Source organism: Homo sapiens, chromosome 2, assembly GCF_000001405.40.
Source record: "Homo sapiens chromosome 2, GRCh38.p14 Primary Assembly".
Classification (NCBI taxonomy): Eukaryota; Metazoa; Chordata; class Mammalia; order Primates; family Hominidae; genus Homo; species Homo sapiens.
In genome coordinates this window covers 43321429-43347229 of record NC_000002.12, presented here as the reverse complement: position 1 = coordinate 43347229, position 25801 = coordinate 43321429, and the positions used below count along the sequence as shown (strand labels likewise).

General features: G+C 43.3%; 1 protein-coding gene across 7 annotated transcripts in view, besides 1 other annotated feature; it reads left to right on the top strand.

The window, feature by feature from the left end:
- THADA (THADA armadillo repeat containing) overlaps positions 1-25801 on the top strand; it is a 365188-nt gene that overhangs the window by 248809 nt on the left and 90578 nt on the right. For 6 of the 7 annotated variants that reach the window (NR_073394.2, NM_001345924.2, NM_001345923.2 and 3 more), the window contains one exon: positions 2993-3108. The exons of the other annotated variant lie outside the window; for it this stretch is intronic. Coding sequence is in view for 5 of the 6 variants with exons in the window: in NM_001345924.2 (NP_001332853.1) it covers positions 2993-3108 (116 nt within the window). In the remaining variant the exon portion in view is untranslated. The remainder of the gene's footprint in view (positions 1-2992; positions 3109-25801) is intronic. 7 annotated transcript variants of the gene reach the window in all.
- Positions 10153-10242: an enhancer, noted in NCBI's record as "active region_15669". NCBI's record gives its function as "activates an Ori minimal core promoter by ATAC-STARR-seq in GM12878 lymphoblastoid cells {active_cell/tissue: GM12878}" and the evidence as "EXISTENCE:reporter gene assay evidence [ECO:0000049][PMID:35858748]".

Sequence of the window (25801 nt, the reverse complement as noted above, 5' to 3'; positions counted from 1 at the left end):
CCATGGAGAAACAGAGGTTAAGTTGCCCAAAGCCGCAAAACTGATAACTGGTTTACACCTATCTCTGCCCGGCTTCAAAATCCATGCTCTTCCACTTTCCCATGAGGCTGGATTCTTAGCACTAATCTAGCCTTCCTGCCTCCACCATCAGATGAGGCATCCACTGGGATGAGGAGTACGGCGTGATTCAGCTCTCCGTTCCACTCCAGACACAGAAGTCGGCACTACGATAGCTCACAAAACCCAAGGGAATGTGTCCTAAAGGAGTGAATATAGGAAGAAGCACCAAACACCAACATCGTTTTTATTTGGCAAATGCTTGTTGAATTCCTACAGTGCATCAGACTTGTTGGAGGGGGAGGTCAAGCATACAAACAAAAGTGATGACGATGCTGCCATGCAGGTTGTAAATCATGACCAGGCAGAGTCAGGAAAGCTATTGATTTTTCATGTCTCCATGACTAGAATGTAAGCTACAGGAAAGCAAGGAACTATCTGGTCTCTGCTGCAGCCCCTTGGACAGTGCCTGGTAATAAGAGTTGTTTAATAAATATTTGTTGACAATGTTTGCCAATTTAGGACACATAAAATGACACTGAACTTCTGAGTTCTCATGTGTGTTGGCAGTTAATCATCCTCCTTGGTTCTGGCAGCTTTGGTTTCTCTGTGCTTGGTTCAGTACAGGCCTGGGTCTGACTGCTTTCTTAGCCTCAGAATTCTTTGGGACCAGAACTTTAGGAAAGTGAGGAAGAAAGAGTTGCCTTGCTACTTGCCATCCTTTAAGAGCTGGTGGACAAATTGCCCTTCTTGGGAGCTGCCGGAGCTCCTGAGTCTGACCTTGATCAAATCTTAGTTTCAAAGGGCCTGGCCTTATACCTGGACCTCATGCCAAAGGATGGTCTCATTTTTCTTGAACCCAACACACTAAATGTCTATGAGGTTAGTTGTGTATTCAAATATTTTTATTTTCTTAAAGAAAAATATCTCAAAAACACTAACCTGTTTCATACAATTGCTTATAAAACTTTCTTTCCTTTCTCTTTCCCCTGTCTTCTCTTCTCCCTCTCCTTCCCTGCCCCATTTTTTTCCATGACTTCTCTGACCCTGGCCCTTTGACATGCTTATTTCCGCCACAGTTCTTTTCAGCGTACCTGGCTCTCCATTTGTCTCGTGTAAATAGATCGCTCTCCATTCCTGGTGAATAACCAGGGTCACAATTGTCTGGTTTGTACCCAATGTGACAGAATTGTAGGCTGATTTTCATAAACCAGAGCTACCAAGCGTTTCAAAAACAGTCTTGTTTTTGCCAAGTAAGGTGAGCAAATATAGGACTAAGTTTAAACATCCATCAGGAGTTATTTTTGAAGTGATTGCTTCTAAATGAGAAGCATTTGAAAATCTCACAGGTTTCTTTACAAGTAAATTCCGAAGTCATGCATTTTGCTGGTGTCTGCTGATTAATTGCGATCCTGTGACACCATGAAAAGCCCTGGTGGTTGGTTTTGTGCAGCTGTAGAGAAAAGTAAAGCAAAGCCCAGTGACTTTGCCAGCTCTTTCAGGACAGTGGGGATTCAGGCTGAGGAAGGTATTTTTTCCCTCTGGCAGTCACCACATAAGAACAGAAGCTCCAGCCAGACCCATTGCTCCAGACTCCACGTCGGGTGGTTTGGGTCCCTGCGGGGGTGTGGTGAAGGCATGACATTTGATCTGTTGCTTCTGAAATAACAGATCCATTATTAGACAAAGCATTTTCAGTCTCCACATTGGGACTTGTGTGCACTCTCCTGTACAGTTACTTCTGTTTAGAAGAAATTTATTTTGATTCTCTAAACAGAAGGTGCTTGGCATGTATTTGTTGTTGGTGATTGCAGACGTCTGACCCAGTAAAACCTGCCAGTCTACCCATTTAGGGTCTGATGACTCTGGATTGATTTTATCTGGCCTTTTCTGTTTCTCATTACCCCCTTCCGTATCTAACTCTCAATTATTTCACTATTGTCAGCCCATTGTTGATAGGAGAGAAAGAGAGGAAAACGTTGAATCTGGTTACACAGAAAGAATCATTCACAGCTCTAGAGAAGGATATAATAGGGAAAGAAAACAGATGTTATTAAAATAGACTTTCAGAGTTCTTAGTGTGTTTATCTATGCTTACTTTGCCACACCCACCTCTTCCTCTTGATTTAGATAAGGAGGCTGGAGACTGAAGGATTTCTCTTGACTTGCATTTCTCTCCTTGGCACTAGCCAAGGTCAAAAGATCTCATTTATGCCCTTGTCCTTATTCTTTGTCTGCTATAGATTTGTACTCCTCACAGAGGCTTTGCGGATGTCATTGCTGAATCCAGTACATACATACGTGCATACATGCATATACACGAGTATCCTTGTATAAGTGGGGCACGTCTGCATTGCTGCATTCACTCCTGACATCGAAGGGAAGATCTGCTAAAAAAAAAAAACAAAAAAAACCCTAAATAGTTACAAACATCACTGCCCAGTATTTGCTAAGGCAAGAATTAGTTTGACCTACTTCTTTAGCCACGACTGTTCTAATGAACTCAGACATGTAAACCAGTTTAGACTCTCAAACAATGTATTTTTCTTTAAATTTAAGACTTTGACTTTAAAAGGCACATTTTATTTTCATGTGCGACAGCTAACATAAAGATGTTTGCATTTCTTTGCTGAAATCAGTGTATAGGTTGTTTGTAACTAATAAACTCTTGTGGCAGATGATTGTTGGGCCACAGTCATCAGTTTTGGGGATTGTGTGAGAAACCCATAGCAAAGTATGGATTAAGGACTTGGGTTTCTCGGCACTGCTACATCCTCCAAAACCAACATGCCTTTCTGCAAAGAGACCAGAGCTACATTCTGCAGGTGTCTGTTTTCTTTGAGGGGAACATTTTAAGGAAACTTAAAAGGGAGGAACTGAGCATTTAGGAAAAATATATTTTCACAGCAGGATTTTTTTTTCTTTTTTGGTTTAGGTTTTTCATTTGTTGCAAGCCTACTCAGACTCCAAACACGGAACGAATTCAGACTTCCAGCACGAGCTGACTGACATCACTGTTTGTACCAAAGCCAAACTCTGGCTGGCCAAGAGGTATGTTAAAATCCCACATGAGCAAGGAGTTATCAGGGGTTAGGAATACATTTGAGAATTGCTGTTTCTAGTTGTGGGGAGTTTTAAAAGTCATTGGCATGAGTTTTCTAAACTTATTGGAGTATTTATCCTTTTAGAACTTTGGGTTGTGGTAAAGAAAGAAAAATATTTTCTTGACAATTTTTCTAAAACTGCTAAGTGACTGAGGGGCATGTAATATGGCTTTTTGTCTGCCCACCAATCAGCTTGTTTTTGTTGAAACCTGCTGCGTGCCCAGTCCTGTGTTAGATATTATAACAATGAAAGGCAGTAATTGACTAAATCATGTGGTACAGACTCTTAGGTGCCGTGGCAACTCAGAGATTAGAGATTGCTGTAGGCTTGAGCAGGCACTGAGGGACAGATAGGGTGTGAATAGCAAGAGGGGATGGAAGTTGCCTTTCTTAGGTGGGTAGTAAGGTAGCTTGAATAAGCAAGGCAAAAAAGAATAGAAACATATTTTTCATCCTTGCCATTGTTAGTTTATCCTGGAACTTAGAACATTTACTGTGTGAAAGATGAAGGAGTAAAAGGAATTTCTCATGTAATATACAGGGAGTCCTCTCTGTAATGCCATGTTCAAAATCTGTGTTGCAGGACTCTGGTGGTGGTAGGATAGTGTTAACTGCAAAGGCCCTCCGTAGGTCCTCTGTAAGTTCCACCAGAGTAGCTCCAGAAGAGGCGCATGTGTTAGTGTTACTACCTTTCCTGCCATAGTACACGCATTTAATTAAGAGTCAGTTTATTGGCCGGGTGTGGTGGTTCATGTCTGTAATCCCAGCACTTTGGGAGGCTAGGGCAGAAGGATTGCTTGAGCCCAGGAGTTCAAGAACAGCCTGGACAACATAACGAGACCCCATCTCTACAAAACAACGACAACAACAAAAATTAGCCAGGTATGGTGGTGCATGCCTGTAGTCCCAACTACTTGGGAGGCTAAGGCAGGAGGATGGTTTGGGCCCAGGAGTTTAAGGCTCTAGTGAGCTGTGATTGCACCACTGCACTCCAGACTGGGTGACAGAGTGAGACCTTGTTTCAAAAATAAATAAATTTCTGATGCTTAGAGTTTGAGAAACAAACAAGTTGAAAAAAAAAGAAAAAAGTATATTGGCTGTCTAAAGTAGAAGCCTCTCTTTTTTATTTTTCAAAAAGTGTGCTTTTGGTCACTTTTGTTGGGCTCTTACCTTCTGTGGCAAGTCAAGTAATGGGCTGTGTGAGGCTCTCAAATCAGTTTAATTCAACAAAGCATTGTTGAGCACAGGCTACCTGCTAGCCTTTGTGTTAGGAGATATAGGGATACAAAAATATAAAAGAGCTAGTCCTGGCTCCAGGGACTTCCAGGAAGTGAGAAAGACGTGTATAAATAATTTTCATCTGGTATATTAAGTATTATAACAAATGTCTGTAGTAGGTACAGCATTACGCCAGAAGAGGGGTGAGAGAGGGCTGACATCAAACTGGCCATCAAGAGTGAGCCAGAATTTTGCCAAGTGGCCAACACAGGTAGGGGAATTCCAGGCTTAGGTAACGGCATAGGCAGAGACACAGCAATATGAAACGGCACTGTAGGTTTGCAGAACCATAAGGAAGTTAGCCCTCTGGAACCTAAAGTGTAAGGCACAAGTGGCAGAGAATGGGGCTCAGGAAATATGCCCAGGCCACACAGTGAAAGCTCCTGTAAGAAACCTTTTGGTGAAGGAGCCAGCGGTGGATTTCCCAATGTGTGGATGTGTGTATCTCAATTATTGTCTCAACATTAATAGCTTTGGATAGGGATATTGATGGAGAAATTATCTTGTGTCTGAAATGCCGGTAAAGTTATTGGGAGCCTCTCATTTTTAGTCTGTTAGTCTATTCTCCCTTTTTTTAGACAGGGTCATGCTCTGTCACCCAGGTTAGAGTGCAGTGGCGCTACCACGGCTCACTGTAGCCTTGACCTCCTGGGGCTGAAGTGATCCCTCCGCCTCAGTCCCCTGAGCAGCTGGGACTACAGGCACACGCCACTATGCCTGGCTAATTTTTGTGGGGTTTTTTGGTGGAGAAGGAGTTTCAACAGATTGCCCAGGCTGGTCTCGAACTCCTGAGCTCAGGTGATCCACCTGCGTCGGCCTCCCAAAGTGCTGGGATTACAGGCATGTGAGCCACTGCACCCAACTTGTTTTCTCCATTTTATTTAGAGAGTAGGAGTTGCTTACCCATGAAGTGTTTACCCACGCCTAGTACCATTTGCCTTCTGTGTGGCTCTTAGCATCCCAAAGATACATATCACATCAGTACCCTCAGCTGTTTGCCAGGTAATAGGCCACTTCTTCCTACCTGTTATTTCTGGGGATCAAGAAGTCAGAGCTGTCCAGAAATTATCCTCTGAAACCTGCTTCTAGCCAGGACTGTCCCAAGTATCCTAACACTCTAGTTCTTAAAGTGCTGTAAGGAAGGAGTTTCTGCCCCCTTAGCTTGCTACTCCTTCATGCATCTCGTAGAAAGTCATTATCCACTGGCTTCCTGAGTCCATTACCTCTTGTTGGATGAGATGGAGGAGATGGAGCGGCAGGCCAGCCATTGAGTGGACCTTCATGTTGTGCAGTGCCTGAAGATGGCTGACAAAGCTGCCATCAGCTTCCTCTGCAGCTAAGAGGAAGGGAAGTCCTCCTGGCCTTTTAAAACCTGTCCTGTGGTCCCTATTGCTGTTTTCTAATTGGGCTTTCCATTCTCATTCCCTCTGCTCCCCACCCCACTTCTGATTTTTCTCCATGATTTTCCAGCTCTAGAAGACAAAGGAATGAATCACTGCAATTTACTGGGTTTCCACCTTCCTTGCCCAGAATGTAGGACAGCCACTTTTCTGTTTCCAGTACAGTCAACTCTCTATTATCCAAGTGTGAACTTTCCGCTTTGTGGGTGGTCTGTAAATGGTTCCTAACACCAGGCTTCCTTTTGCTCCCCAGCACACTTTTACAAGTGTTAATCAGAATGTGTTCAGAGCCTGAAATAGAGTTTGGAAGGAAAACATACTGCCAGACAGCACAATGCATTCCAAAGCTATGTATCAGTTTTTCTATATTATCCACATCATTGACAGGATAACTTTGAGGTTCCTAAATAGCAAATTATAGAACTGGGTATAAGTGATGAAGCCTCGGTGTCACATGCCTGCCCTGTCCCTGAGGTCCTCTTGTTCTGGGAGTTGTCTGTCTATACTAGTTAACTCCATGCTCAGACACACCCCCTCTCGTCCTAGCGGTCCCTTCTCAGAACAGACCCCTGTCTTTACTTTCTCACCTGCCTTTCCCATGAAGATATTACAGTGCAGAGTATTCCAAATTCAACTACTGAAGAGGCTTTTTTATGTCCCTGGTAATTTACACATGAAAGAAAAATAAATGTTCCTTTGAGTCTACTAAGGATTTTCTGTATCTTTTGAATATAAGCTATGAAAAATTAATGTTTTTGCAAAGAAAAAAATGTTGCCTTAAATTTTAACACCGACACCCTTTTCCTTCCCTAATTTATTTGATCATTAGCCTGAGTTTCTTCAGTCCCATAAGTACAAAAATGCTAGTGGATATGTATTTGTCCTTTTGTTCTCAAAGAAAGTTTTTAAAAAATTGATTGGCACTATTGGATAACCAATTCAGTCTTTAAATTTTGACTCTGAAATTGAGGGAACATAAAATGAAGACTTTTGTCCTATATTTGTGTTTTGACTTTGCAAGATTAATAGGGATTTATATGAGGTGATTAAGCAATAGCCATGGAGTTGTTGGGGAATTTTTGGTGATGAGTGGTCAGCTGGCAACATGGCTTCAGGAAAGGACTGGGCTTCTGCTCTTACAGGCTGCTTTTCATTCCAGGATGTCAAAGCCTTAATGGAAATCAGCTCATTAATCCTTCAAGTCCTTTCCTTCCTGTTTTCCTCCACTCCTCCCTTCTTGATCCAGTTTACTGTCTAAAGCAGTTTACTAACTACTGAAAGAAAACTAAACTGACCTAGACCAGAAACGAAATGAGAGTAGCCGTCTAGTAGGGATCTGCTGCTGTCCTGGAAAGGATGGCAGTGGGCATCATGAGAGAGGAATCACCCAGTCTGACACTCATGCTAATTACAAAAACTTTTTTTTTTAAGTTTTTTATTTATTTATTTATTTTTTAGTTTTAGAGATGAGGTCTGGCTGTGTTGCCTATGCTGGACTTGAACTCCTGGGCTCAAGCAGTCCTCCCACCAGAGTCTTCCAAGTAAGCTGGGATTACAGACATGAGCCCCATGCCCTGCCACCCTTGCTGCTTGCAGATTCCAGCTCAGCTGTCCCAGCTAGATCGCTTATTTACTTTGGCTAAGAGTTGTAATTAGTATTATATTAGGCTTAAACTTTTCAGAAGTGAATTTGGCTATCTAGTTTCTCCTTCTTTGGTTATAAAAGGAAAAAAATAAGTGTGTATGTGTATGTTTATATATTGCATGTGTGTTTCTTTTGGTAAACTTAGTGAACTAAATGGACTAGTCAGGGCTGGGTGCGGTGGCTCATGCCTGTAACCCTAGCACTTTGGGAGGCCAAGGTGGGTGGATCACATAAGGCCAGGAGTTTGAGACCAGCCTGGCCAACATGGTGAAACCCAATCTCTACTAAAAATACAAAAAATTAGCTGAGTGGTGGCACACGCCTGTAGTCCCAACTACTTGGGAGGCTGAGGCATGAGAATCGCTTGAACCTGGGAGGCGGAGGTTTCAGTGAGCTGAGATCATGCCACTGCATTCCAACCCGAGCAACAGAGAAAGACTCTGTCTCAAGAAAATGAATGAATGAATGCATGCATGCAGTGGATGTGATAACCAGAAATAAATATGTGCCCTACTAAAATTTTTTCACCGTTTTCCCCTTCATTGTTGTGTGCTGCTATATGCTTATCATAGAAAATTAGTCAAGTACAAAATTTGGAAGAGAGTAAAAGTCTATTCTTACCACAATCCATAAATCACTATTATTGGTTAAGAGTTGTATGTAATTCCTTCATCTTTTTTCCTATGCTTTTTTTTAACTTTGTCAAGGCTATACTGTATATGTAAGTTATAGCTTCCTTCCTTTTTTCACTCGATAGTATCATGAGAGCATTTGTTATTATTTCAAACTCTTTGTGATACAGCTACTGTGGAAAACAGTATGATATTTCCTCAAAAAATTGAAAATAGAATTACTATGTTAATCCAACAATTCCACTTTTGAATACATACCCAACAGACTTGAGAGTGGGGTCTCAAAGAGGTTTCCATAGCAGCATTATGCACAATAGCTAAAACATGGAAACAGCTCAGGTGTCCATTGATGAATGATGAATGGATAAACAAAATGTGGTATATACATACACCAGAATATTACTTAGCCTGGAAAAGGAAGGAAATTCCAACATATGCCACAACATGGATGAATCTTGGAGAAATTATGCTAAGCGAAATAAGCCAATCACAAAAAGACAAATACTATATGATTCTGCTAATACAAAGTACATAGAGTAGTCAAGACCTAGAGACAGAAAGTAGAATAGTGGTTGCCAGGGGCTACAGAGAGGAGGAAATGGGGCATTGTTTAATGGATATAGTGTTTTAATTTTACAGAATGAAAAGGGTTCTGGAGGCTGGGTACAGTGGCTTAGAGCTGTTATCGCAGCACTTTGGGAGGCCGAGGTGGGCAGATCACTTGAGGTCAGGAGTTCAAGACCAGCCTGGCCAACATGGTGAAACCCATCTCTACTAAAAATACAAAAAATTAGCCAGGTGTGGTTGCGCACACCTGTAGTCCCAGCTACTTGGGAGGCTGAAGCAGGAGAATCGCTTGAACCTGGGAGATGGAAGTTGCAGTGAGCCGAGATCGTGCCACTGCACTCCAGCCTGGGCAACAGAGGGAGACTCTGTCTCAAAAAAAAAAAAAAAAAAAAGTTCTGGTGATTTGTTACACAACAATATGGATGTGCTTAACACTAGCAAACTGTACACTCAAAAATGGATAAGATGGTAAAGTTTATATTATGTATATTTCATCACAATTTAAAACATTTTAATGGAAAATATTTAAAAGAAAATATACCCCATCATTCATCTGAAGTTATCATTGTCTTGACATTTTATGATAATTATTTCTTTGCTTTTCTTCCTAGTTTTACCACCTGTGCATCTCTAAAAATAAAATACTTTTGCCTATTTTTCAATTAAGAAAAAAAAACTTTGAAAACATCATTTTTGAAGGTAGCATATTTTTGTCACCTGAATAATTACTCATTAAATTTACCTAACCATTGCTGGCATACAGTTTGTTTCCCATTTGTTTAGTGTCGTAGATGATGTTTCAGAAAAATCTTTGTACATGAGTGTGGTGTGTGTGTGTGTGTGTGTGTGTGTATGAGTGTGTGTGATTGTGGGTTATTGCCTTAGGTTTGATTTCCAGAAGTGGAATAAATTGGTCAAGGGGAAATGGAAAAAGTCTTGGTATACACTGCCAGATTGTTTTCTAAAAAAGTCCATCTGCCTACCAACAGTGCGTGAGAGACCTCCACCAAAATTTTAACTAAGATATAAAAAATTCAGTTGAGGAAACTTTTACGTTTTGAATGCTTACTCTGTGCCAAGCTTCGTATGAGGAGATTTGTAAATATTATTTCATTAACTCTTCTCAAAACTGCCTTAATATAAAAAAATCTTTTCTACAGTGAAAACAACTGGGGAGACACACCACATGCCTCACAGCCATTTTAGTTAACATTTCAGCTTGGCATGAGTTAACAGATAAGTCAAACGGGTACAGATTGTTCTTCAGTTTTTACTTTCTATATTACCAAACAGAGATGGCCCTGCGTTAGCATTTTGTTTTGTCTTCTTTAAAAGGGGTCTTCCCCTGGACCCTCCCTGGGGTGCTGCTCAGGCCCAGGCCTGCTGTGCAGTGTCAGCCAGAGGGCTCAAACTGACAGTGCATTCGGGTCAGATTGGCCATAGTTGTGTTTTGTTTGACTTGTGGAGGATTTACATTTCTTTTTTTAAATAATTTGCTGACATTTTAAACTGAGGAAATTTCATAGTAAATCAAGATCTACAGCTTCTTTTGAAAAACTGGAAGATCTGGCACCACCAGGCTCAAATTCCCACGTGGCCACAATGGGCCAGAGCTAAGTCCCAGCCATCCTCCCTTGATGAGTATACTCTGTGCTTCTGCACGGCCCCCGCCCAGCCGCGTCTCTCATTAGGTTACCTGAGCTCCCATGGAAACAGGAGTTTGTATCCCTTGCTATTGGCATTTATTAAGTAGCAGATTGGCTGATGCTAGTTCTTAATGTTCATGGCTGCGTTTTTAGAATCATCTGGAGAGGTTTTAAAACCTGTGATGCCAGGCCTTACCCTCAGAGTTTCTGATTCAGATATTTCAAGTTATCTCACTGGCCCTCAGAAGTACCATTTAAACCTGATACTGTGGTGTGGTTAGTGGTTGATTGTTGTGGAGGCTTATGGCACTTCAAAAAAAAAAAATTGGGGACGAGTGCAGTGGCTCATACTTGTTACCCCAGCACTTTGGGAGGCTGAGGCAGGTGGGTCACCGGAGGTCAGGAGTTCAAGACCAGCCTGGCCAACATGGCGAAACCCCATCTCTACTAAAAATACAAAAATTAGCCAGGCATGGTGGCATGCACCTGTAGTCCCAGCTACTCGGGAGGCTGAGGCAGGAGAATCACTTGAACCTGGGAGGCGGAGTTTACGGTGAGCCGAGATCGCGCCACTGCACTCCAGCCTGAGCGACAGAGTGAGACTCTGTCTCAAAAACAAACAAAAAAAAATGGTTTTTTTGAGAGACATGGTTTCATTCTGTCACCCAGCCTGGAATGCAGTGGCATGGTCATAGCTCAGTGCAGCCTTGAACTCCTGGGCTCAAGTGATCCTCTCACCTCAGCTCCCAAGTAACTGAGACTATAGGTGTGTGCCACTGGACCTGGCTAACTTTTTTTTTTTTTGAGATGGAGTCTCACTCTGTCACCCAGGCTGGAGTGCAGTGGCATGATCTCAGCTCACTGCAAGCTCCACCTCTGGGGTTCACGCCATTCTCCTGCCTCAGCCTCCTGAGTAGCTGGGACTGCAGGCGCCCGCCACCACACCCGGCTAAGGTTTTGTATTTTTAGTAAGATGGGATTTCACCATGTTAGCCAGGATGGTCTCGATCTCCTGACCTCATGATCCACCTGCCTCGGCCTCCCAAAGTGCTGAGATTACAGATGTGAGCCACCACTCCTGGCCCTTTTTTTTTTTTTTTTTTAAAGTAGAGACAGGGGCTTGCTCTGTTCCCAGGCTGGTTTAGTACCCCTGGCCTTAAGTGATCCTCCTGCCTTGGCCTCCCAAAGTGCTGGCATTACAGACATGAGCCACCACACTCAGCCCAGTTTTTTTAAGTTGAAGCTTAAATAGAATAACTATCCCTGTATTACTTCATTCAACAAATACCTATTGAGCCCTGCTGTATGCCAGGCCATATCAAATACTACAACTGTATATTAAAACCACTACTTCAGTGTAAAGAGAGCAACAGAACAGAGTCTTATCAAATCGAATCATTGACCTAGAATTTTAGAACTGGAAGGAATCTCATGAAGTTTATTGTATTAAGAGTCTACTCTCACCCCTGTACATGTGGAGTACTACAGCCCACAGAGGCTGGAGGATTTATCCGTTTTCACACAGTTCACCAGAATTAACATCCTACCTGACAACTACTATCATTTGTTGAGGGCTTAGCTCCCGGCACCTTACTGGGCTCTTTGTACTTGACCACACTGCCTCCATCTATCCAGTGTTTTTATGTGAGGGTTTTGCATGGCAGTAATTTAAGCCTTCTCTAGAACAGTGATTCTCAGAAAGAAAATGTGCACGTGAATCACCTGGGAATCTTATTAGAATGAAGACTCTCATTCACTAGGTCTGGGTGGAGCCTGAGATCCTCCATTTTGACCAGCTCCCAGGGGACAGAGTACGTACCTTGAAGAGCCAGGGTCAGAGTGCCAGGCTCTGTGATCTTCCAACTCCCCCATTTGAAACAGTCCCATCCCCATTGCCTCATTCTCAAGGGCTTGTGGCTGAGCTTGGAGCTACAGGAGAGGGCTGAGGCTACTGAAGGGATCAGCCCAAGATTCTCTCCCTACCCACCTGGGATCACCTGTGTTGAGGGGCTTCATGGCCCCAGGGCTCTCTATGGGAAATCCATACTCCGTTGTCTGGGCCGCCATCCCAGTGGCCTCAGTGCCCTGTATGGGACCAGTGTTTTTTTTGTTTTTTTTTTTGTTTTGAGACGGAGTCTCGCTCTGTCGCCCAGGCTGGAGTGCAGTGGCGCGATCTCGGCTCACTGCAAGCTCCGCCTCCCAGGTTCACGCCATTCTCCTGCCTGAGCCTCCCGAGTAGCTGGGACTACAGGCGCCCGCCACCACGCCTGGCTAATTTTTTGGGACCAGTGCTTTGTTGGCATGCAGTGTGTTTATCATTTTTAAAAATAACAGTCTGATATTCTGGTGAGAAAAACAGGCTCTCAGAAATACAAGACCAGGTTCCAAGGTTACAAGGAAAGCAACCTTGGGAATAAATTTTTTGCATAAAACAGTGCTGATGAGGGGAAGAGATGGTAGAGGGAGCTAATGTTTGTTGAAAGCCTGCTCAATGTACCAGACCTAATGACTTGCTACCCCAAGTTAATTCTAATAATCTATCCACTTCCCTGTCCAGCTTTCCTGTAAGTGCCCTTCACACCCCCATGCAGTCCTCCATGTGCCCTTTCATGTGTGCCTCGTCTGCTTCTCCATCCCCCTCATCCATACTCCAGTCACTTTCCTGTCTCCTCCCCTGTCACCCCCTATCCATACTCCCATCTATTCTCCTTTTTCTGTCTTACTTACTGGACCCCACTGAGCTGAGTGGTGTGCTCCTGAAGGGCCTGTGGATTTAAGTGTTTAAGGAAAATATGCTTATAGAGACAAAGCTGAGGCTTTTGTGTGGCAATCCCAGTTCTTCCCTAGGGGGTCTGTGGCTAACTGCAGAAGTTCTGGTGTAGGATTCTATTTTGCTTTACAACAGCTGAAAACAGCATTTATTTTCTCACCACCAAATTTATTCACACAAGAGACTTACACTTCCCAGGCAGAAATACTGGGTTTTAGGTCTGCTTCCATTTTCCCACTGTCCTTTAGCTCCTTCCCAAATCCCTCATGGGCTGGTCCCCTCCTGAAGAAAGAGATCCTTCTTTTGCAATGACTTGAAATAGAAAGAGGCCACAGCCTTTTGCCACAGCTGCAAGTTGCTGTTTCACTTCCATGCCGTTGAAATGAATCCAGTCCAGGATGATTGTTAAAATATTCAGATGATCATGTGGCATTTTAAGGCTATCATTTGTGGTCCGTGCCAAAACTTTAAGGGAAGCAAGTCTTAACAGGGATCGCTAGCCACAGAGCAAGTTTCCAGGCATTGCTAGGGGTTATGTTTTGCCTTTTGGTTTGTTTCTTTTCTTTCTCTCGTTTTTTCTTCTTTCTTTCTTTCCTTCTTTTTTTCTTTCAAAAAAAAGGATCCTCCTTTTTTTAATTTTAGAAAAAGTTATTTTTTTTTTTTAGGAAAAAAATGGAAGAGGTAGTAACTGCTTTTCAATTCCTAGATTTTACTGGAAGAGAGAGGTTCTCATTAGGACCCGTCTTTAATCCTCCAGCACAGCTTGTTCAAAGTCACATGAGCCTCATGCAGATTTGAATGATGAGAGAAATGAAGTTGGTATATTTTAAACCCAAGCATGCTGACATATGTTCACTTCCCTTTCAGACGTCTCAGGAATGTCTAAGGTCATGATATCTCCGGATGAGATCCTGTTTGTGTTTTTTAAATACAAAAGGAAACATTATCGTATTTCAACCCAAGCCAGTGGGACAAGGTGCAAAACATTTTCTTCATTAAATATCCCTTTTACAAATACAGCCTCAAGTTTTAAAGGAATAAGCTGTTTGAGGAAGAGTGAAGTTTGAAAATATATGAAGTATTTCTTGTTGACAGACTGAGCTTATGGAAACGAGTCTGGGTGAAAACAGTCAGAAGTGATCAATATATTATCCTGGGCCCTTGAGCAAGTCGTCCAAGATCAAAGCTTCTTCATACCGCAGCGAGAAATAAAAATAGTCCTTTTACGCAACTGCACACACACCAAGAATTCAACCCCCAACTGCTGATGCTTTCTACTTTTTAAATATAGAAATCTGCAAACCTAACCTGGAGATGGCAGTTAGTTCAATAGAGGGCTCAGAAATCTCTGTCTTGTTCCACTTGTAGCTGTTGGCTTACTGGGGTGTTGCTGTTGGAAGATTTGGACAATGTTGTCATTGCTCAGCTTGCAAGGGAGTGCAGGCTTTAAGTGTCTTCAGCACATTCTCATAATATTATGTAAAGCCCTAATGTAGTGGGTTATGTTTTTTCCTTTAGCATGTAACATCTTCCATCTTTTGGATAAATTAACACCTTTGTTACCTTCATTGAGCCATTCTCAGTCAATTAAAGCCAATTCAGAGTCACAAATATTACAAGACAATGGTTTAGGCACAGTGGGAAATATATGAATGAACGATAATTGTCTCTGTTTCAGAAACCCCACAAGTAAGACAAGTATGGATTTAAATAACTATAAACAAGATTGTGTCAATGCTAGAATTAGTCAAAGTGTGTTGCAGAAGCAGAGAAGGGAGAAATAAATGCCAGCTTGTCAGGGTAGGGGTGTCAAGGAAGTCTTCAGGAAGAGGGAGAAGTCTTTAAAGGATAGGTGAGTTTAATTATTAGATAAGGTTAATTTTTTAGCATGGTGGCATGGGCCTGTAATCCCAGCTTCTTGGGAGGCTGAGGCACAAGAATTGTTTGAACCTGGGAGTTGGAGGTTGCAGTGAGCCAAGATCGTGCCACTGCACTCCGGCCTGGGTGACAGAGCAAGATTCTGTCTCAAAAAAATAATAATAATAAGATTAATTGTCTCAGATTGGAGACTGAGTAAAGTTACACTTGTATAGTACCTTTGTTGCCAAGTAAATTGTGAAGGTCTCATTGCCCAAGTACACAAAAGGTATCTTAGTACAGCGCCCAGCATTGTGGGAACCTAATGTGTGTGTGTGTGTGTGTGTGTGTGTGTATTAGATATATATAATGGAGTCTTTGTTGTCAGAGTTCAGTTATGGTTGAATCTAAATGAAAATTTAGACAGTGAAATACATAGAAGTACATACAGTAAGTACAAGAGTTCAGAAAAGAATGTGGACTAAGATAGTCAAGGAAGGCCTTATCAGAGGAGTTAGATATTTGAGATGGGCGGTAGAGCAGAGTGTGATTTGGAAACACCAAAAAGTGGTAGGAAAAGAGCATATCAAGATGGTGGACCAAATGTGCAGTGGGATACTGGAGGGAGTGCATGTGATGTATCATGGGCCAGTGAGGAGATCAAGCTGAGGGAAAGCTGCTGTGCTTTAGAGAGCAGTGCAAGATTTGATAAGAGACCAGTTGTGGAAACCCTCAGATGTCAGCCAGAGGAATATGGACTGGATCCAGGAGTTAAGAGGAAGTTAGTGAGCTCTGGCTGACACTGGTAAGTAGGCTGCTGTCTATATGCACATGAAATGCACTAAATGCTTTACATCTTTCCAACCTCGCTTAGTGGTCATCAGAGTTTCTAGTCTCTCTTAAGGATTAACAGAAATCTCTCTATTAGCAGTCCTTGTCACCTGGAAGCCCCTGTTGCCTGCCTGGGCAGCTAGTAATAGGAATAGAGATATCTGTATGCACTTGAGACCACATAGGTTTTGTCTTTCCAATGTTGCTAAGAGTACCATAGAACCACAGAATTTATAACAGTAAAGGGAATTTAGAGATCGTCTAATCCAGTGGAATTCATTCTTCAAACAAGCTTATGTGGAAATTCAAGATATTGAAAATAGTAGAGATGGTTTCAATATGGTCTAAACTGGGGTGGGGGCCCGGAGACCCACCTGCATGGCTTCCTTCCTGTTGGTAGCCCCAGAAGGGACTAAGAGAAGCACCCTAACTCCCTATTTCAAAACAGTGATCTAATCTAAGCTGATATTTGTAGAAGAGGTAATAGACACGGGGGCAGGCGACTTCTTCCTACTTGAAAGATATGGCTGTCTCAGAAGATGGCTCAAATTAGGGATGTAAATAGCAAGTTTGTTTTTTGCCTCTTGACCTGCTTTCTTCCTCTCCCGAGGCCTGATCATCCTTGTGGAAAATTCTACAACTCCATGTCCTTGGGCTGCCAAGGGCCCTCTCTTAGGAGCTGCCTTCCATGGATAGGGCTTCATGCTCCAGACCTTCTTGCCATCAAAACTTAACTATTCTATATCCCTTTTCCTCACTCTCAGCTGGCTGGCTGTCCCTAAATTTTAATATGTAAATAAGTTTGTTCTCCCGGGTCACACAGCTGTTTTCCAGTAGTGACCTGGTAGAGACAGCACCTTTAACTGAAGTCCGTAACTGACGCAGGCTTTACGGCAGTGCGCTGGCCTGGCAGGAGCACATCTGCCCTCATATTAAGCTGCTCAGCCCTGATACATTTGTCCCGTGTGGCTGGGGTTTCGGCCACCTCCACAAGGGCTGTGGGCAGCATGAGCTGGTCTTACATGAATGGGCCAAGGGAGCATCTTGGAGAGAGGCCCTCCTAAGTCTCACTAGCCTTTCCTTCCCCTCAGCTGCCAGTGATGATCAGGCTTCCTCAGCAATTAGACTGGCCTGGGTGCCTCTGGGAATAACACCTTCCCACGCAAGCTCAGGGGCTCACTCTAGGACTCCCCAAGCCAGACGGGTCCTCACCAGTCCGCAGGCTCTGCGTTCCTGGGTAACCACAAGGAGAGTCACATCTAGAGGCACTTGGTGAATGGAAAGCCTCTAGCCAGAAAACACAGTGCAGTGCCATTGAGGAGAGGCAGAGAATACTCAAGGTTAGCAAGTCAGTGGTCTGGCCTCTGCTGGACTACTGCCCAGCAAGGTGTGGCCTGTAATTTCCTTAGGCCTGAGTTTTCATCTGTAAAGTGGGAAGCTCTAAAATGAAGGTGTGAAATAGAGGAGACCAGGGGAGGGCATAGTGAGTAATGGAAGTGTAAACATAAAAGTGCTAAGAAGATACGGGAACTATCTATTGTCAAATAACGAAGTCTCTATCAACATAATCGCCACGTTGAAAATGTGCCTTTATGCTGGTCCTCACAGAAACAGCTGCACTTGGAGCCTTGCTTTTCACCAGACTGGCTACCAGGATATAACACCAGTCTACGTGGTTTCTAATTGCTTGGCCCAATGTCTCACTTTTCACCTGATTGTGTTTGGGACACATAGATACAATTTGTTTTCTAGAAAACCTTGATTCTATTCTTGGTTTCTGCCCTTGTCTTGGCTAGGTCACTTGAGCTACTTTGTTGATTTATAAAAATGGGAATGATAATTTCTATTTTTCTTCCTTCTTAAGAATTTTATAAAGATAAAATAAGAATACTTTTTAAAGAGAAAACTTTTAATATAATAAGATGTTGATATTGTTATTATCATTCGTACTATTTTTACCAGGGCTAATTTCCAAGTGTGTGCCTTGCCAAATTCACATGACCACGGTCCTATTGACGGTGCTGTTAGAAATTCTCCCCTTGTGATTTACATAGCTCAGGCAGCATCCAGAAGATTTCATCCACCTCACCTATTTATCCTTTTTTATGCTTTTAGGGAGAAAGTAAGGTTTGAAAAGAAAGGGGACTTGTGTTAACATTCTATATAAGATTTGAAGCTATATATCTTCCAAGCCCCAAACTGTACAATAAAAGTTTTCTTGGATACTACTTTTCTCCCATAATTCCTAGCACATAGTTTATTAAGTTATTAACCAGCAATTACTCTGGCAGCATATTAAACTTTACTTTTAAACAAGTCACAGAGGGAGGGAAACACGCATCTCTCGTAAAAGGAATAAAAAACATACACCCTCTAAAACAGTTTCCCCAGGCTTTGAACAAATCCCAAGCCCCACACCAAGGTCTCTTTTTCATCATTCTCCGCACATAGCTTGAGTGTTAGTACAGTAATGAGAACAAGATGCCTAATAGAAAGATGGAAAAATATGAGGATTCTGGAGGCTCCCTGGGGGCTCTCTGGAAAGGCAGGTGATTAATATTAGGAGGGAAAGGCAAAGGCATGGCATTGAAGCTGTGGGCTTCCTCCAGCAGCAGCAATCCTAAGGGAAACAGAGGAGGCTGTGGCTTTGGCCCTAACCTAAAAAGAGGACCCCAGTACCTTTTGCAGACTGCTGGGGCCTTGCTGAATGCCTACCCAGAACCCTGGTAGGAGTGGGTAAGGCCCTCTGCTTTCACAGATTACATTCCCCAGGATCCAAACCTGCTCTTCCAGGGAAAGCCCACTGTGCTCTGCAATGCATAGCTGGACCTTCAGTCACTTTCTGGACAGACTAACAGCTCACGGTCTCTCACTTTGTGCATGGTAGCTCAGTAAGAATTCCGTATAAGTTGGTCCACCACCAGAGCAGGGCATGGAGGATGGCTTCACTTTAAAAGGAAAATCCAAGTAGGAGGGCTGTGGGGCAGCATCTACATATGGCTGTGAGTATAAACACTCACAAAGCTCCAGACCAAGAAAGGCAGGATGGATGTTGGGGCATACCATAAAAATGCAACTCTGCCGTCACACCTCCCCCAGGGAGGGCAAGGTAAACGAGCAGTCCTGGTAGCCAGCCAGGCCCTACAAGCTTCTGCCAGCTGGCCCTGCATGCACAGCTAAACTCTCCATGTTACAGTGGGGGAAATGACTTGTTTAAATATATATATTCTACAGTTCATCACCATTTTGCATTTTGATTTAAACAAGTCCCCTATTGTTTGTCTAAGAGTGCCATATGATGGTTACTTGGCTGGGGGCCATGGTAAAAATTGGAAATCGGAATGGCAGATGTGGGTTCTTTTTATTTAATTTATACTTCCACATTTACATGGCTTAATGTGGCCTCCATCAAAAGAAGTACCTCCTAACTCCTATCCACAGGATATAGCCAAATATAAGGAGAGGCAGTATCTGGTCCATGGACAGCTGTTACAATGATGTGAAGTGCTCAAGACTACAAAGATGGCCAGTGGGATCTCTGGGAGAAGGGGAAGCTCAACAAAATATCCTGGGTTCAGACAGCCATTCAGCGTATCCTCAGAGGTAGTTGTCTGGATCATTAGAAAAGTAATCCTCTAGAAATAGAGGAGGGGCTTTGAAGTGAGTTGGTTTTTAGGGGGGTTTGTTGTTGTTATTGCTGTTTGAGATAGGATCTCACTATGTTGCCCAGGCTGGTCTTGAACTCCTGATCTCAAGCAATCCTTCCATGTCAGCCTCCAGAGTAGCTGGGATTATAGGTGCCTGTGCCACCTAAACCCAGCTTGAAGTGAATTTTAAATAAAGGGCAGGAGGCGGGTAGATATGTGTCAAGTGGAGGGATCATAATGGGATGTGGAAACATGTTGTAGACTAATTTCCCCTTTTTCAACCATTTTCCCTCTCCCATTCTTCTAACCACCCCCCCTCTTTACTTCTCCCCCCACTCCCCTTCTCACCTGCCTTCTCTCCCTTTGCCTCTCACCCACTTTTCCTCTTAACCTGGTTTCCTTCTTTCCAGCCCGTTATGGGCCTGCTGGTGGTCCCTAGGATATTGCTTCATTAACTCCAGTGCTGGCTCCATGACAAGAAGCTTCTAGTACTTCTTGCTTATTGTGGTTGAGAACAGAAGTGATCTGAGCTGCTTAAATAGGAGCTAAGATAAGAGAACTACCCCAGATGGGCTGGGATGAGCCTGCCAGCTGCACCTGTTTGATTTTTTGGAATTCCTTCTCTTTCACCAGCTCAAACCCCTCCAATGCCTCTAGAGCCTTCCTCCATGACAATCATGACAATCAAATCAATCCTCTGTTTTTATGTGTATTTTTTTCTCCACATATACCCCTCCCCCAACAAGATCATAAGCTCTGCAAAGCCATAACCTTTTCCTCTCCCTCCCCTTCCCACCCCATGTAGGATATCCCCCGTACTGCTCAGTAAATGTTTCTGTATTAATAAAGTTAAGCCATGTGTCTTAGAGACCTTAACAGACAGTAGCAACCTAAAGCCAAAACAGCAGTTTCCAGCCCTCTGAAGATGGCAGTGAATTCTGGTAGAGCTTGGTAAGTCCAAAGTGAATTCCCTCTCTCTTCCAGGAAGCCCACCAAGGCTTCACAATATTGAGTGGGGACCCCAGCTGTCCAGTGTGACTTGAGCTTATGGGATCCCACTGGGGTCTTCATTCTTTGGAACTTTTAGAGCTCTGAAAGACTACTTCTGTTTCGGGCCCCTGTTGACTCATCCCATATCATTTCCTGCTAATCCCACTGGCCATCTTTCTAGTCTTGGCAGTTCACATCATTGTAACAGCTGTCCATGGACCAGACACTGCCTCTCCTTATATTTGATTATATCTTGTAGATAGGAGTTAGGAGGTACTTCTTTGATGGAGGCCACATTAAGCCATGTAAATGTGGAAACATAAATTAAATAAAAATAACCCACCTCTGCCATTCCAATTCCCGCCCCCCATACCATTGTCCCTTTTAGCACTTGTTATTCTCTAAACATGTCATGTCCCCAAGTCTTTGGACATGCTACTTCCTCTGTTGTGGTCACTTTGCCCAGGTCTACCTCCTCCCCATTCTCCAACTCTCTGCCAAGGCCCTTCCTGACTCACCCAGACAAACAGTTACTCTGTTAATCCCTCCTTTTGGGGCACCCATCATACTCTAGCATGACTGGTTGTGTGTTTTCCCAACTACACTAGTGGCTTTCAAGTGTTTTTTTTTTTTTTTTTTTGACAGACATTGACAACAAGAAACAGCTTTTACATATGACCTAATGCATATGTTTGTGTGTATATACTGTGCACACACACATGAAATCATGCACAGTCGGAAATTTTAGTAGCTGCGTAAGATATAAATTGCCAAAAATGCAACAGAGAGGGAATTTGCTCAAGATAGAGCATATTTAATTTCAGGAATGTGTGCTTTCAAGATATCCACTGCCATTTTGGATACAAAGCATAACCCTATTGATGCCATTCAGTATAATGTAGGGTAGCTTATTACCTGGAAAAGAAAAAGAAAAAAGCTAGACCAGTCAATTATTTTACTTAAACTTGTTGCATTTTAATGGTTATTTAAATCTTAAAGATAACTTATTAAAAATTATTCTTAGCAAGGACTTAATGGAAAGCTGATACATAACAAAAACCTTAGTGAAACAATCCCTTGGGAAATCTCTGAACTTCTTTAAATCTCCTGCCCTCTGTCCTTACTACACTACTTTGATACACTCTGATTATATTTTCCTCCTTTCTCCCTCTGTCTTCCTCCTAGCTCCTTTTCTCCCTTCTTCTTCTGCCCCCATCTCTCTCCTCTTCCCTTCCTCCCTCCTTCCCTTCCTTCCTTTCTTCTTCCTTCTTTCTTTCCTTCCTTTATTGCTGGTCACTACCCACTAGTTGATTTCATAACCTAACATACATTTGGAAAAACACTATTCAGGACTCTAAGTTCCTTGAGGGCAGTGACTGTGTCACTGAATCACTTCATCTTCCTATTTCCAAACCCACCACTATTCCTGGCTCTCAGTAGCCTCTTAATAAATGTTTCCTGAATGAATAGGCCTCAGTTAAAAACAAAACAAAACCAAAAAAAAAAACCTGCAGCCACTGGGATTCCGGAAGGGACAGGAAAAGTGAATAATTTATCACAGACTTCCCCAAGACTTCTGCTGTCCTCTAGACACTGGGGCTTTTGTGGACGTGTCTGGGAAGCCCTGCCCTCTGCCTGCCTTGTGCCTCTCCCAACTTCCAGGAGAGAGGGCAGGAGATTTAAAGAAGTTCAGAGATTTCCCAAGGCAAAAACATATTAATCAAGTTCTTAAGTGGATATTTAAAAGGACAAATGGTAAAAAAGAGTGGAAGAAAACAGGATTCTTAACAGGGCCTTCGTTTCATCTTCTGTATGTCAACTTCGTCCGCATAGTGCTGGATTCCTTCTCCTCCTTCGAAAGCCACTAGTAATGCTGCTTTTCAGTGCATCTGCTACATGCTGATCACTTCTGATTTTTTTTGAGCACTATAAATCTTCATTATGCTGTGCTCCATGCCAGGATTTTTCCATTTGGGGGTAGAAAAATTCCCCAAGCCCACCAAAACCCTGTGGCTTAGTTTCCTGTCCAGCTGGCGTGCTGCTCTTCGGGATTTTGTTCCCATCATCAAAGTGGCTTGACAGACTGAGAACAAACCTCTGGCTCACCCTGAACTTACAGTGCACCATTTCCAAGTCAGAACAAACACCAAGTAATAGCAAGAGAAAAAGAATGAAAAAAATTATTTTCCTGACTTAGAAGCCAGTTCAGAGTGAAGCCCAACTCTGTGACTCCAGACAGGGATGTTATAAGGCCTTGGCTGTCCTCAAGGGTGGAGTCATGAACAGTGGGCTCCGGGCTGGAATTTCACTCAGAGTCATCTCAAAGGAGAAGCCATGGATGGACTCCTTTGTGGCCCCAAATCTTCTGTTTCCTGGAATCCAAAGCAGCAGCATTTGAGGGAGCCTCCCATGATCTTGTTGACTACATCACACTTGGCCCCAAGCCTCACAGTTGTGGGAGCAGTCAGTGATTCCTGAAGTGTCCCAGGAGGCCAGTAAGGTCACCAGCCTGTACCGGGTCTAGGGAAGATGCAGAACACTTCAGCCTGGCAGAAGGCTCTAAAGATCGTCAACCTTTCCTCTGTTCATTTTGAAATTTTTAAAAATATGCTAACTTAGCTGAAAATCTCATGGAAACCAGGCTCCTCATCAGACTTGAAAGTCAAACCGGTTTCTCAACAACTTCTCTTTATGGTTCTGTATGGCTCCACAGAAAACCAGAAAAACATTTGGGGCAAGAAGCTATGACTCTGTGAGGCCACATGGGAGCAGGCAGTCAATTATTACACTAAGGAACACCCAGTTAGCATGAAGTATCCCATCACTTAAAAGCCTGACCAGCCTTCCTCTTGTTTCCACCTTATCAACGCATTCTCTTATCTTCCCAAGCTGCCGCTCCTTGGAACTGGAGAAGCCAAATGAATTCCCTCTCACATCTCTTACCCTCTTTCCAAATGCCCTTCCTTATCAACTTTGTCTCTAAATTCTTCCCATCTTACATGGCCCGGTTGGAAGTATAACTTCATTTCTCCAGTCCACCCTGGTGGGTTGGTGGGTTGGTTGGTTGGTTGGTTGGTTTTTTGGGTTAACTCCTTACATCCTATTCTGAAGTTTGTCTTTGTTTTTGTCTCCAAAACTAGTCAAAATTCTCAGGTCAGTAGCCGTCTCCTGTGCATGTCCTCCCTGCACCTAGCTCAAGGCTGGATGCACAGGAGACATCCTATCTGCTTTCTCAGGCCACTGGCTTTCCTCCCTGAATGGCTCTTGCTTTAGCAGGGGGCAGTCTCAACTAGTAGAAATTTTACCATTGGGAATGATATCAATGAAGTTTTTATAGACTGTGGGCTTTCCATAGTGGATGGAAGAGTAACAGCAGAAAGTTACGATTGAGAGTCCCAGGGTAAACTAGAGACAAAAGATAGGGGCAGGGTTAAAAAGTAGAACCCCAGGCTAGACAATATAACAAGACCCCATCTCTACAAAAATAATTTTAAAAATTAGCTGGATGTGGTGGCATGCACCTGTAGTCCCAGGTATTTGGGAGGCTGAGGTGGGAGGATTGCTTGAGCCCAGGAGGTTGAGGCTACAGTGAGCCATGATCATGCCACTGCACTTCAGCCTGAGCAACAGAGAAAGACCCTGTCTCAGAACAAAACAAAACAAAAAAGAAAGAAAAGAAAATGAGGCAAATCTCTATGTTCTTAATAGAATGGTATCCAAAACATATTAGTGAAAAGGAGTGATGATCAGAACCGAGTATATAGTAAGCCATCATTTGTATAAACAAGTGGGTAGCAGATAGATGCTTATAAAAGAATAGAGCCTGGCGCGGTGGCTCACGCCTGTAATCCCAGCACTTTGGGAGGCCGAGGCAGGTGGATCACGAGGTCAGGAGATCGAAACCATCCTGGCTAACACGGTGAAACCCCGTCTCTAATAAAACATACAAAAAATTAGCCGGGCGTGGCGGCGGGCGCCTGTAGTCCCAGCTACTCCGGAGGCTGAGGCAGGAGAATGGCATGAACCCGGCAGGTGGGGCTTGCAGTGAGCCAAGATCGCACCACTGCACTCCAGCCTGGGTGACAGAGAGAGACTCCGTCTCAAAAAAAAAAAAAAAAAAAAAAAAAAAAAGAATAGAATGTGCTTGGAAGGATATGCTAGAAAGTAGTAATAGCGGTTGCCTCGAGAACAGTATATGGGCAGGGGGTAGGGTTGTGGAAAAGGGATTTCATTTTCATTGCGTGTCCTTTTGTGCTTTTTCAATTATTTTTGCATGTGTTACCTATTTATTTATTTATTTTTGAGACAGAGTCTCACTCTGTCACCCAGGCTGGCATGCAGTGGCATGATCTCAGCTCACTGCAACCTCTGCCTTCCAGGTTCAAGTGATTTTCCTGCCTCAGTTTCCTGAGTAGCTGGGAATACAGGCGCCCGCCACCCTGCCCGGCTCATTTTTGTGTTTTTAGTAGAGATGGGGTTTCACCATGTTGGCCATGCTGATCTCGATCTCCTGACCTCAGGTGATCCACCCACCTCAGCCTCCCAAAGTGCTGGGATTACAGACGTGAGCCACCATGCCTGGACCACCAGCACACTCTTAACCAGCCTCTTGTTTTTCAGTCTTACCCCCTGTAATCCCAGCTACTTGGGAGGCTGAGGCAGGATAATCACGAATTCAGGAGGTGGAGGTTGCAGTAAGCCGAGATCATACCACCACACTCCAGCCTAGGGGACAGAGCGAGACTCTGTCTCAAAAAAAAAAGTATCTGATACATATTTTTCATGTTAGACATACACCAGCTCCAGATATAGGCAATTCAGGATAGAGGTGTGAATAAACTTTAAGGAAATTGTAAAACTTAGTTTATAGGAAATGAGAAGGATGGATTTCAGGATTAAGCCACATGGAAACTCACTAGCCAGAACACTTGTGCCAATATCAATGCCATCCCCTAATCCCATGTTGGAAGTAGAGAAGGGCAAGGAATGGACAGTTCTGGAACATCTGCCATGGCCAGGCACTGAGGTGGGCATTTTAAGTTTACTGTGCCACATTGAACACTCACAGTGACTCACAGTAAGTCTGTCTTAGTCCATTTTCTATTGCTGTAACAGAATGTATGTATTGTATTTATTGTAACAGATGGCACTGGCATCTGGTGAGGGTCATCCCATGGTGGAAGGCTGAAGGCAGAAAAGAGCACGCAAGACAGAGAGGAAATCAAGCCAAACTCATCTTTATAACAAACTCAGTCTCCAAATCACTAGCCCAATCCCAAGATAACAACATTCATTCATTCATGAGGACAGTACCCTCATGACCCAATCACCTCTTAAAGGCTCTGCCTCTTAACAGTGTTACAATAGCATTACATTT